Here is a 14,399-nt window from a genome sequence, read left to right as displayed (position 1 = left end):
CAGCCAGCTTGACCACCATCATTTCTTCTTGGAGCCCATGAAGGGCTACAATACCTAGAAGCTCACCTGGAGAGATGCGCTGTTTACTGAGCTACCTTGGAAGGCTCCAGATCACAGAGCGTTGACATGTGTTCCTCAGTTGCTTATGTCATTTTGAAAGTACTTGAATTTCATAAGCAAACTGTTGTTGCAAGGAAATAACAATGGGCCAGCTTAGTCACCTCCAGACATTTTATCCTGTGTACTTTTGTATTTCTGTATGTGCACAGGGCTTAGTCCTGCAGGGAACCATTTAAAGAATATAGATAATACCTATCAGTGTTGAGTCACCCTGTCAAGAGAGTAATGTACAATTGTGCATCCTTGTAAGTTATTTATTATACTCTGAGGTTTGAAGGAATACAGTTTCCTTGATGAAGAGATAAAAAGGAGCAACATAAAAGCAAGGTAAAAGAAGAACACTTCATTAAAACTAAATCTACCTTCCGGTCTTAACTTTTTTTGAGTTGATATTTTTAATTAGTAAAGTATTACTAAAATTTATCTCATAAAAATTTACTTTGTAGAACATCTTTCCAAAAAACAAATAGAACATGTTCATGACAGAAGGAATAAGGTTGGAAAGGGACAGAAATACATGGAGACAGAGAAAAGCAGAGAGATTGGAAGACAAAAATAAAGCAAAGATGAGACAGAAAGAGAGAGTGAGAGGGGGAGAGAAGTTGAGAGTTTAAGAGAGATAAACTAAAGAAATCGAGTTCTGTAGAACTGGAATCTTCAAAATACAATTAAACAAACTAATTCCCCAGAGAATGGAAGTAAACAGCTCTGAAAAAGCACCAGTTTTCTCTGTTGAAATTAGTGAGAGGAGTTCTGTCCAGTTAAACAGAAAGGACTGAGCCCAACTCCATTTCACTCCCAAAAGGGTTATAAAATGAGGCTATAGAGAATAGGATGAGTCAAGAGGAACAACAGATTCTAACTTGAGCAAACCAGCACTCTCACCTAAACATGAGGGGTCGACGCAAAGGTTTTGTAAGGTGCTTTGTGGTTCTAGAATTCTATGTCTGTCAGGGTGCGTAGGGTGGCCACTGAGAAGTACAGTGATGGGCTCAGATCCAAGAGAGGGTGGAGAAGGAAGGAAGTTGGTGTTTTATTCCATGCTGAAGTTTAATTCAAATTCTAGCTTGTTTATCCTCTTTCTTCCCACTGCTCCTTTACAACAGAACCTCAGGACTAAATAACTCTCATAAAAAGAGCTGATTTTCAGGACAATATTGGGGTTTAGTTAAATAAGCAATGCAAGAAGTCAATGCTTTTTAAAGTACCACTTAATACTGTGACTGTTTAAAAGGACTTAAATTTGAACTATATAAATAACATGGATACAGTTTCTTTGTAAAAACTGAAAATATTATATGTCAGGCTAAACTCCCCTTTCACCACTACCCTTCTTTTTTTTTTTTTTTTTTTTTTTTTTTTTTTTTTTTTGGCAGGGTCTTGCGCTGTTGCCCAGGCACAATCTCGGCTCAGGGCAACCTCTACCTCCTGAGTTTGAGTGATTCTCATGCCTCAGCTTCCCGATTAGCTGGGATTACAGGTGCACACCACCATGCCAAGCTAATTTTTTTTTTTTTAATTTTTAGTAGGGACAGGTTTCACCATGTTGGCCAGGCTGGTTTTAAACTCCTGGCCTCAAGAGTTTCGCCCACCTCAGCCTCCCAAAGTGCTGGGATTACAGGCATGAGGCACTGCACCTGGCTTTCACCACTATTCTTAATCTCAAATCATCCCAACCTCTCCCAGTTTACTACATTTTCTTAACAGACCTTTTTCTAGGTAGAAACTACGTAGTATTGTTTCATGTTTGTAAGTATGTCTTTTTAATATAAACAATATATTTTTAAAAAATTTTATGTCTTAGAGATGGATCCTTATCAGTATGCAAGCTCCATCTCATTCCTTTGAACTACTTTGTAGTGTTCTGTGGCTTAGATGGATCATAGCTTATTTAGTCATTCCTCTATGATCTACAAGTGGTTTCCAAGTTATTGTTTGTTTTTTGCTACTGCAAATAAATGCTGCATCCTTGTATATGCTTCCTTGTATACCCTATGCAATTGTTTCTCTAAGGTAGAAATAATTTGGTTTTTAGCCTTTGGGTCTCCAGGTCTTATGTATGCAGCTTGAATTTAGCTACATGCCACAGAAAATTTGAAAAATGGCCCCCAAATTGGAGAGAAGAGTCACTTTTTAATCTTAGCAAAACATTGGCCCACTTTGCAGCTTCATAAAATGACTACTGTATTCATTTTCCTGTCTAGGTGAGACTATTGATTAAGAATGCTACATATGGCATCACACAGAAAAATACTATTTTAGTGCTCGTCTTGGCAGCACATATACTAGAAAAATACTATTTTAATATTCTTTCTTTTGTAGCTTGCATGTTAAAAATGTGTTTCAGGAATAAAAAATAATTTTATATTTATGTGAAAACATGTATAAACCAAGACTTTCAACATACTGCAAAGAGCCACTCTGTAAGAGTAAAGTATTTTCTTTTACTAAATGAACACTTAATCAATAACATGAAATGGGCAAGAATGAAAAGAGAATAATGTCAAAATTGAAAAGCAGCTGATAAGCTCACATCATCATTTTTGACATGTAATGTCTATACTGGCAGCTTTAGGATCAATCCAGTCACAAATCCTTTGAGCAGCTGTTTGTATGCCTTCGACTAATGAAGCTCTTTGAGTGCTCTGTTATTAATGTCATAAAGGGGGAGAGAGGATAAAGAAAGAGACAGTGGACCAAAGAAGAGACATTCTAAAAAGAGACTCCCTTTCCCCAGCCACTTGTGGAAATCCATTTCAGGTCAACTGGGACCAATTGTGAGTTCTGGCCTTGGGCAAAATTCCTATTTGCAGTCAATAAATTAATGGGTGACACCTTTAAATGGGTTAGCTTTAACTGAATCAATGTCTGATGTGGCAATCTATCCTCGGGCCAAATTCCCACTGAAGTTCATATGTTGGGCCTCACTGAAGAAATGGACAAATCCTTGAACTTTTTTTTTTTTTTTAAATCACTTCTTTAAAAAGCAGCATTCAGGCGCTGTTTTTACTTTCCTGTCCTTGCCCATCCTTTCTTTAATTGGCATGGAAGAACTCCCAATATTAATTGATTTCATTTGCACAGAACTCTACAATGTACAGAGTTCTTAGCCTGGGTGATTCTAGTTGAATCTGTTTCTTCTAAAAAAGTTGTCCATAAGGCCAAAGAGGTAACCGTTCCTTTACAGTAGCCCTTTTGAAACCTCTAGGCAGCAGGAAACAGAGAAGGGCTGCTCTGTTGGTTCAGCTGGCTTTTACAGCTGAAGATAACATGAACCACAAATCTGTCGAGGTTCATGTTTTCTTGGAGGGGGAGGAGAATTCAGGGAGCAAAATAAAGAGAAGTTGAAGTTTAATGTTTCATAACCGTGTGCTCTTTTCCAGGTTTTATTCCTGTAATATTCTCTGTGTGTGGCCAGGCCCTTCATAACACAGCGCTATTGAAGAAGAAGGAGAGGGAAAAGGAAAAGGGAGGAAAGGGTGGAGGTAGGGATAAAAAGTAGCCTTTGAGGGGGCAAAAAGTCCACTGCTCTTAAGTGACAACTGTGACCTTAACTGGAACTAATCAAGCCCTCATGGAATTGAGTTGGCCATTCAATTCTGAAAATAGGATAGGGGGTAAGTATGTGGATGGAATTTGTAGTGAAGCCACAAAAGGGAAATGACCCACTTAGAATCTTCTCTGGAAAAAGTGGGTTCCTGAGGCGTCAAAAAGTTGATGGGATGAGAGCTTTCCTTTCCCTGAGGGTATACGTGGGTAATGTCTGCTAGGAAAAAAAAAAAAATTGAGGGACAAAGATGGTGGAAACATTGGAACATAATCTTTTTTTCTATTTTGGAATCTATTTGTGGGATTAAAACTTGGGAGAAATATTTAAAATCTCTGGAAAAAGAGCAAGCATTGGCATGTCTACATTATGTATGCAATGCTGTTCCTCCCATCAGAAGGGGAGGCTAACAAGCTTAGCTGCTGAGGAGAAGCATATTTTATTCTCAAGTTGGCCAAGCTGTTTCCTGCCCTTGGAGCAAAAACCAGTACAGCCAGTGCACCCTGATGATATTTGTTTTCTCCGAATATCAGAACCTTTTAAATAACAAGCACATTATTCTTTTAAAGGCTCTGAAAACATGAATGAATAAATACAACAACACCGTTGTATCTCTTCCCTTGAGAACACCCTTTTCTCTAGAACTATACACCATTGCTAGAGTTTCTGAATGTAAATTTAGAAAATGACCATTTTTCTTTTTTTCTGCCCAAACTGGACTCGAATTCCTGAACCCAAGCAATCATCCCACCCCAGCCTCCTGACAGCTGGGATTACAGGAGACTGCCACTGCACCTGGCTGGCAATTGTTTTTTCATCTCTCACGAGTGAGAAAACATAGCCAAAACACATAGTAGTGATGAAGTCCTATAGCCTTGAATAGAGGCAATAAAAATAAGGCCAGTTATGGTTTCTGAGCTGAGCTGGAGTCTCTCAAAGCTGAGCAGTGTGTGCTGGGCAGGGCGGAGGAAGAGCGGGGCGGTAGCTGTACCTGTGATGGAAAGGCTCCACAGTGGTGTTTGACAGTTCACGTCATTGATGAATAGTTCTCAGGTGCATAAGCCTAGAGCTATAACAAAAAGGACCTTAGATTTCATATAATCCAATTCCTTCATTGTGCAGAATGACTTGCAAGGGTTAGTGGCAGAGTCAAGCCTAGATTCTGGGGTTCTTGTCTTCCAGGTTGGTATTTTCCATTGCTTTGAGTTGGGCATTTTACCAGACAGGTTAAAATACACAGTCTCTGTCTTCTAGTAGCTTACAATTTAAAATGTCTGTTTCCCAGAAGAAAAAGGAGTAGTTTAGGGAATGAATGAACACTATGAGGACCAAAAAAGATACTTGGTTCCAAGCTCGCGTCGCTGGGTGACCATAACAAAACCACTGATCTTGTCTGTGCTTGCGAAGGAAGCTGAGGGAAAGCGGGGACTGGGGAGCAGCTTCATTCACCTTTTTAACAGTTAGTGGTTCTGCACTAAACCAGAGAAGGCTCTTTACTGTGCCATGAGGGATGTAAGAGTGGACAAATGTGAGGTTAAATTTCTCATTTGAAAGTGTGATAATGGAATAATAATATTAACTGTTTCTCTAACAAAGGTCAATGTACATTCTCACAGTGACACAAAATACCCTGGCTCTGTACTTCTTCCTTTACAAACAGGCCCATGTCAGCTTCCTGGCTGACTTCTGGTAAATCATCCTAAAACGATTCCTGGCATTCACCTCATAGAGGGTTAAAACTTCCTCTGCACAAACCAAGGGCTACACACAGAGAAGAGAGGCTACAAAGGAGGATATTGTTGCTTATTTTATACCAACTGCGAGAAGAGAATGCTGAAAGGAGAAAATGCTGTGGTATAATTTTGAAAATCCAGATTCATAAGAAAAATTTTATGGAGGTTATTTTATTTTATTTTTTAACTCAATTTTTTTCTCTCTGTGTTCCACCCAGACTAAACCAACCTTAAAAATGTCCTTATTTGGGTGAGAAAGACTCTTAATGCTATAGAATTCTGTGTGGAAACCCAGAAACAGAAGGTTGACCGAGGCAGCACAGATAGGGGTTAGTGATACTGATCCCTTGTCTTCTCACCCTTGACCCTAGAAGGGCTTAGTGGCAAAAGGAGAATTTCCTGCAGGGCTGCGTTCAACCTTCCTGTTAGCAGAACTGGAGGAAGAATACAATGTACTAAAAAGCAGCCCCTCCCTCATTCCTCTGCCTCATCTACTTCTTTGAGATAAATGAAAGAAGGAAAATAGCCATATCCACCAACAACCCTGAGGATCCCTGACAAATGGCCCTAAGGTATATCACACCACATCCTTGGAAACCAGGAAGAAACCAGGGAACAGGATTGGGTTTAGCTCGTATAATTGAGTTTAGCTTGTATAATTGAGTTTAGCTGTAATTACTGTGTGGAAAACTGCAGTATTTTCCCTACCATAGATTGGATCTTCACCCCTCATGAATACTGTGCTGGTCAGTACTACATCTTGCAATCTTTTGCTGGTGTAATTTTCAAAGGTGGAATATATGCAATGAGGAATTAATGTCTGTTGAAAATACATGAGCTGCTGGAAACTTGTTCGCGGTTACATTAGAATATGCAGACAAGCTGATATAGTGCATGTTGGAACAGTCCAGAATGAGACAATATTAAAAATATTTATTTTGGGACCCGAGGTAGGTGTTGAAATGGATATGAAGGGCATGTAGCCTCACCCAACTGTCTTTTTATGCATTGCCGTGCCATTTAAAGGGCCAAGCACCTTTTGAGAATTGATGCACTTTATTTACTAAAAGTAAAAATATCTTTGGTCTCACTTTTCTTTTCTTTTGGGGGTAAAAACTAATTTGTTAGTTGTCAAGATAGCCAGGCTGAAGAAAAAATGGCTTTTCCCCTCGTTTTTAACCTGCTTTGATGACACAGTAACCAAATAACCAAGTGGTTCATATACACTCAAAATATTGAATCACAGTCTCTAGGGGCAGGGCTGGATCATCAGAACTTTTCTAAAGTTCCCCACATCACTCTATTGTGCCATCAGGATTGAGAAACCACTTGTCTGAAGTCTCACCAGTTTGAACTGACATTAGTAAGGAGAAAACTTAGTCCAAAAGAGAAGGCTAGCAAAAGGAAACATGTAAATCGGCTACGAAATGTGAATGTGTTGCTTCAGGAATTGCTTCATTGAATTAAGGGCATGAAAAGAACTTTGAGAGTTCAATTATTTCATTCATGTGCATCCAAATAGAAACATACTCCGGAATTGATGTTCTGTTTTTAACAGCTTTCAGTGCTACTTATCCAAGCATCTTTTGTAATCCATTCCCAAATATTGCAATGCATGGAAAAGCAAGCAAGCAAGTAGGCCAATAGTACAAAACATTATAGAAAGAACTTATTTTTACACATAATAAAAATGGAAGTAAAATTAGTTATTTTAGGATTAGTTAAATTAGGACAAGTTAAATTAGGATTGAGACTATGCATCATGGGTAAATTTTCATATATGCTTATTACAATAACACTGATTTTGCAAGACCAATTTATGACTAATCTTAGAGTTTCCTACCAGAATATTTCTTCTTAATTCCAGAGAGGATGTTTTTAGCTATTTCTCTGATCTCTTATAAAGGTACTGGCCTGGCTAGATTTATAAGTAATTTTCAGGTCATAATAGCAATAACCTATAACTTACTGATATTTGAAAGCTGTAATTATTGGAGGAGAAAATTACAGGTGAATCTTTCATCTTCATTGAGATACAAGGGGATAGGAAAGCTTTATAAAAGAAAAGGCCAAAAAAAAAGTCATATAAATGTTAAGGTTGAAAATATAAGATCTGTTTTCTTAATTAAAGGAATTTGGCCACATATAATAGTAAGAAGGTTTTTTGTTGTTATTTTGATTTTCAGAGCTAAATAGGCAACCAGCTGGGCTCAGCTCCATGTCTGATGGTCTCACCTCTTTGTTTCCTTTAGGGTAATTTCCTTTTGCCTTGTCTCACTGTACCCAGGAGGTCAGTGGAGATCCTTAAGGAAGGTGTGATGGGCCGTGGGGAGAGACCTCAAGGTGGGATTCCATTCAGTTGATAGCAGGCCCTCACTCTTTGTATGAAGCAAAGTTCAAAGAGCTGAGCACAAGGAAGAAAAGCAGTTGCTGAACAATGAAAAACAGGATCCAATGGGAGACACAAAATCAAGAAGCAGGGAGCAGTTACTTAGCCCACTATATTAAATAGTCAGACTTTCCCAGCTCAGCCCAAACTTCCCAGGGGCCTCTTAGGATTTTCGTGTACCCTAGGATGCCTTTGTCTTTGTGGGTCCTTTCCTTCATTGAAACAATACTAAAAATTATATTTTATGACTGTGTTGATATAAAGACAAATAATTAACACTGTATGTTAAAATATAGTTTTTTAACCTAGAATTTTTTCTTCTGTTTTTTAAAAGAAGTTAAACGTTTTTGTGGGCTCCTAAAAGCAAGGCTCAGACCTTCGGCACTATGCCAACTGCCTAAAGGGTAAGTCAACCCTAACTGGAGTGGGTTAAGTGAGGAGAGGACTAGCAGAATTAATAGGAATAATAGCAGGTGGACAGATCACATAGGGCCCTTTAGGTCATAGTACAATGAAAAGGATGTTGGAGTTTATTTTCATAAGTGAGATGGGACATTTTTGAGGGTTGTAAACAGAGAAGTGATATGACGTGAAACATTTTAAAGGGATAGTTCCTTTTGTAGAGAATATGCTATAGGAGGTAAGGAAGAAAATCATAGAGACCAGTCAGGAGGCCATTCTGATAATCCAGGGAAGAGATGATGTAGCTTGTCATAAGGTGATGGTAGAGGTGATAAGAAGTGGACAGGTTCTAAATAGATATTAAAAGTAAAGGCAAGAAGGATTGGCTGATGGATTGGATGTTGAATGTGATAGGGATGATTCAAAGATGACCTCAAGGCTTTTGCTTGAACAACTGGAAGAGTGAAGTTATCATTTATTGAGATGGAGAAAAATTTTAAGGAGAGCACATTTAGGGAGGGAAACAGAGAGCTCAGTTTTGGACATGTTAAGTTTTATATGTTTATTAGACATACAAGAGGAGATAGATATCTGGAGTTTAAAAGTGTTTCAGACTGAGGTAGAAATTTGGAAGCATCAGCTTACAGGTGATATTTAAAGTCAGGAAGAGAGGATGATATCAGAGAGATGGTATTATGTAGATTCAATAGAGAAGAGATTAAAGGACTGAAATCTCAGGTATTCCCATATTTAGAGGTTGGGAACATGAAGAGGAACCAGCAAAAGCAGCTTTGTAGAAGTGGCTAATCATTGCCAAGAAAGAGCGGTGTCCTGGAGACCAAGTAAAGAAGCACTCAGGTCTGCACGAACAGTTGCTTTCAAACTTGGACCATCTCTGGCTGCTTAACACCACAAGAAATTATGGTGCACCCACAAACTTCCTTCCTGATGGGGGAGGAGGCTAAGTGCCTACTGCCAAAAATGGAATGGAAAATTAATCTAACAACCATTTCCCCCCTCTATGTGACAAAAAAATTTAATCTCATATGGTTCAGTTAAGGCACAAATACCACTAAAAGATTAAAACATACCCAAGAAATAAGTTTTTTCTCCTGGCAGGAGAGTCCTTTCTGTAGATGGAACCCCTCTTCTGGTCACATCTGAAAAGGCATTTTCTTCCCTAGAGCTCCAACATGATTTTAGATGTATAAAAGGAAACAATGGGAAGCATGTACAAATGGCAGTCTGAGGAAGGAACCCAACAGTGAATTCTGTCATGGACGTGGACATGGTGAACATGTAGATATGATGATGGAGGAGCTTAGAAAAAGGAAAAGCATGGCTTAAACCTAAGAGAGAAGGAAAAAGATGCAGTCATAAAAAACCCAAAACATTCACTGATACAAACTGAATGTTCATGTCCTCTCCCACCTGAAATTCCTATATTGAACTTCTAATCCCTGGTGTGATGGTACAGTAATTCCCTCTTTTCCATAGAGGATATGTTCCAAGACCTCCAGTGCGTGCCTGAAACTGTGCATAGAACTGAACCCTATATCTACTATGTTTTTTTCCCATACATATATACCTAAGATAAAGTTTAATTTATAAATTAGGCATAGCAAGAGATTAACAACAATAGATAATAACACAATAGAACAATTATAACAATATACAGTGGACCTTTGAACAATTCAGGATTAAGGACCACTGATTTCCCCCTCCCGCCTGTGCAGTTTTGACCTCACTTAACTACTAATAACTTACTGTTGACCAGAAGCCTTACCGATAACATAAACAGTCAATTAACAGATATTTTGTGTGTTACTTGTATTACATACAGTATTCTTACAATGAAGTAAGCCAGAGACAAGAAAATGCTATTAAGAAAAATCATAAAGAAGCGAAGATACATTTACTATTTATTAAGTGGAAGTGATCATCATAAAATTCTTTATCCTTGTCATCTTCACATTTAGTAGCGTGAGGAGGAGGAGGAAGAGGAGGGTTTGGCTTGCTGTCTCAGGGGTGGCAGAGGTGGAATATGTGGAGAAGGTGGAAGGGGAGGCAGGGGAGGCAGGTACATTTGGTATAGCTTTACAAAAATACTTTATAATTTCTATATGACATTTTTGCTGTTCCGTTTCTTGAAAAATGTTTCTGGTGGTACCAATCCTTCTTCTACCATTTGCTTTAGTTTCAGTGCTTGTATCAAATGATCCATGTTATAAAATAAGTCAAAAGCAATCTTGAATAATTGGAACCCTCCTGCCAGCTTGTTTAATGTCAACTTGTTTTCTGACACTGCTTCTTCTACATCTTCCTCACAGTGTGGCAGTGGTTCAGGAGCACTCATCTCCATCAAGTTTTCTTCTGTTTCTTCCTCTGGTGTGGTGTCCATTAGAGCTTGAATTCATCCAAAACCCATATCCTAAAACCTTTCATCTTCTACCTTTTTTTTTTTTTGCCATATCCACAATCTCTTTCATGATTTCCTTGATTGACTCCATCATAAATTGTACAAATATCAACACCATTTCTCCAGTAGGAATTAATTTTTTTCATGCTTAAACTCATTTATGCCTAGTGTTCCATTATTGGAACCCTAAGCATGTGGGAGTTATTTATATCCTATTACTCAAGGTCATCACCAAGGTCTGATTGCAAAAATTCAAAAAATTGCAACCTCAGTCATAAATGGGTTAATGGCTTTCATAGTTTTTTCTATAACAATGATGACACCTTCAATGGTGTAATCCTTTTGGATTTTCATGATATGCTTTCTATCGGGGTTCTCTTCCATGGCATTGACTATCCTTTCCCTACAGTAATGTGTAATGACCTTTAAAGGTCCTTTTGACCCCCTGCTCTAGATGCTGAATTAGACACATTGTGCTTGGGGGCAAGTAGACCATTTTGGCAACTTTGGTGTTGAAGCAAAGAAGAACCTATGGGGTTCTGGGTGGCCTGGGGCATTGTCCAATAGCAAACATTAAAAGGTTACTGGCAGGGTACTTTCTGACTTCAGAGACAAAGCATTGATGGAACCCATTCAGAAAAAGTGTTCTTATTGTCCAGGCCTTCTTGTTGTACAACCAAAAGACTGGCAGCAGATGTTTATCTTTTCCCTTCAAAGCTCACAGTTTTAGTGGCTTTATAGATAAGGGCATCCCTGATCATAAAATGGACTGCATTTTCACAAAATAGTAAAGTTATCCTATCCTTCCTGCTTTAAATCCTGGTGCTCGCTTGTCCTTCCTATTAATAAATTTCCTTTGTGGCATTTTTTTTTTTTTTTCCAGAATAGGGCACTTTTGTCTATGTTAAAGACCTGTTCAGGCAGATATCCTTTCTCCGTAATGATTTCCTTCATGGTGTTTGAGAACTCTTCTGCTGCCTTTTGGTTGGCAGAAGCTGCTCTTCCTGTTATCTTCACAGTTTTTGTTGTTGTTGTTGTTGTTGTTGGTATTTAGAGGTGGAGTCTCCCTGTGTTGTTTAGGCTGGCCTAGAACTCCTAAGCTCGAGATCCTCCGGACACAAACTTCTTGAGTAGGTGGGACTACAAGTGCATTTCACAGCACCTTACCTGGACATTTTTAAAGCCAAACCTCTTTCTAAAATTATCAAACCATCCCTTACTGGTATTAAACTTTCCAGCTTTAGATCCTTCTTCTTCCTTTTTTTTAAGTTGTTACATGATAACTTTGTTTTTCTCAGATTACATCAGAGTCTATAGGTATGCCTTTTTATAGCAATCATGAATCCACATAAAAGCTGCATTTTCAATATGAGAGAAAAAGATTTTTGCAAAAATGCAAAGTTTTTGTGCCTGTTGGAATAGCTGCCGCTATGGCTTCACACATTTTCTTTTCTTTCTTTCTTTCTTTTTTTTTTTTTTTCCCACAATGATCCTTACACTGGATTCATTTATCTTAAAATGGTGGGCAACTGCAACTCCTGACCTCAATCTGCAGTACATATCAAGCAATCAGCTTTTTCTTGTAATGTTATGGCTTTTCTCTGCCTCTTGGGAGCACTTCCAGCATCACTAGTGGCACTTTGTATGGGTCCCATGGTGTTATGCAAGGTTTATGATATTGCACTACATACAGTGGAAAATACACAAGAACCACAGAAGATCACTTTTTACTGTGATACACAATTTACTGGAGAGAGGAACTGCTCACGTGGAGATGATTAGCATCACAAGGCATTTTAAGCAGATACTCTTAACACTTGTGTTCATCACAATAGTAACAGGAGACAGCTACAAAATTATGGTAGTGTGGTATTACTACAGTTAATTTTATGCAGTTATGATTTATGCTTGTTTACATTTCTCTTGACTGTAAATGGTGCCATATACAGTATTCTGTTTGTGTGTTTTGATAAATTTTAACTTTTTATAACAGATTTTTATATATTTTATGGTAGTAAATGAGAAAACAGACTACTACCTACATATATTTTATGCATTCATGACATACCTATATTTTTCTTAATTTTTAAAAATATTTCTAGGCTATGCAGTTTGCAAGTTTTTTCAAATAGTCTCAAATCTTAAAACATTTTTTCAATATACTTACTGAAAAAAGTTTGCATATAGGTGGACCTGTGCAGTTCAAAGCTGTGTTGTTCAACGGTCAACTCTACTGTAATAAAAGTTATGTGAATGTTTATTTCTGGAATTTTTCATTTAATATTCTTGGACTGCAGTTGACTGAAGGTAACTGAAACCTCGGAAAGTAAAACTGCAGACAAATGCGGGAATACTGTATTTGGAGGTGGGAATTTGGGGAGGTAACTAGATCACCAGGGTGGAGCCCACGTGGTGGGTTTAGTACCCTTATAAGAAGAAACTCGAGAGAGATAATCTCTCTCTCTGCCATATGAGGAATCAGCAAGAAGATGGCTGTCGACAAACCAGGAAGAGGACTCTCACTAGTCATCAAATCTGCCCATATTTTGAGAAGTGTGAGAATTAAATCTTGGTTATTTAATTCACCCAGTCTTTGGTATTTTGTTATAGCATCCCAAATTAAGATATTTGCTTTGCTCCAAATAAAGCCTTGCACAAAAATCAAAAGTTACACTTAAACATGATTGTCATGGATTTAGTCAGATATTGACCATAAATACAGTGTCAGCACCCAAGGCTGCCATTATGATATCTCAGAAGACTTTGAGAGGATTGTAGAAGAAAGTCTTGGGTCGCATTTATATAGGGATATAGCTTTAATTTTTTAAAAAAGGTGTGGGAGACGGAAACTAATTTTCATTATTCACGGAGGGATGGAAGGGGATGTCTGAAGTTTTTAAGCAATTGAGAAATAAAATCTTTTTAAAAGTCCCTGCTTCCGAGTCTCTTTCCTGACTCTAAAAATATAAATACTGTTTATATTTTTATAATAAATGCTATTTATATTTGTTAACCTCATTCTGTTCAATGGGGTTAAAAGTATAAAGAAACAAAACCAGAAATAATAAGTTTATGACTTTAAAAATTACATACACATCTCTCTCTATATGTCAGTATGAGGTAATATAATCACATGAAACTTTGAAAAACGAAGAAAAGACCAAAAAATCACCCCACATCAAACCACCCAACACAACTACTATTATAGTCTATTTCTTTCTAATCCTTTTTTCTAGGCAAATTTTAAAAACTGTATTATAATTATAAGATAAATTAATGTTCATATCTTACTTTTTCCACAGATCATTAAGACATAATTTTTAAAGTGGATAATTGCCTTTCTAAACTGGAAATTTCTTACAGCAGGATCTTACCTACCTTTGGGCAACAACTCTTTTATTGCTTCAAAATTATTTTCTATAATCAACTGCCCTACAGCAAGTTTCCTTTTTTTTCTCTAACAACCTAAATCCCACTTTTGTAAAGATGTTTATACATCGTTTATTTGCACCCATTCCCAACTCCAAAGTGATTGTAGCCAGTTCTGGTGGTCCATTCTTCTTGTGAGGGATGAGTATGAGCATACAACTCAATTCTATTTAATGAAGTATAAGAGGAAATATGGGGAGACTTTGTTATTAGTAAAAGAGTAATGAAGAAGAGACAGTCTTCTTCCCCTGGACACTGTCACATCTGTTTGATAAAAAAAAACTCTGGAACTCTGGAAGTCATCTTGTAACCAGGAAGAGAGCCAGCCAAGGAAAAAGCAGATATGCTACGGTTGGTGGA

The sequence above is a fragment of the Homo sapiens genome, chromosome 4 (genome assembly GCF_000001405.40).
Source record: "Homo sapiens chromosome 4, GRCh38.p14 Primary Assembly".
NCBI classification, from domain to species: Eukaryota; Metazoa; Chordata; class Mammalia; order Primates; family Hominidae; genus Homo; species Homo sapiens.
This window is presented reverse-complemented; position numbering follows the sequence as displayed.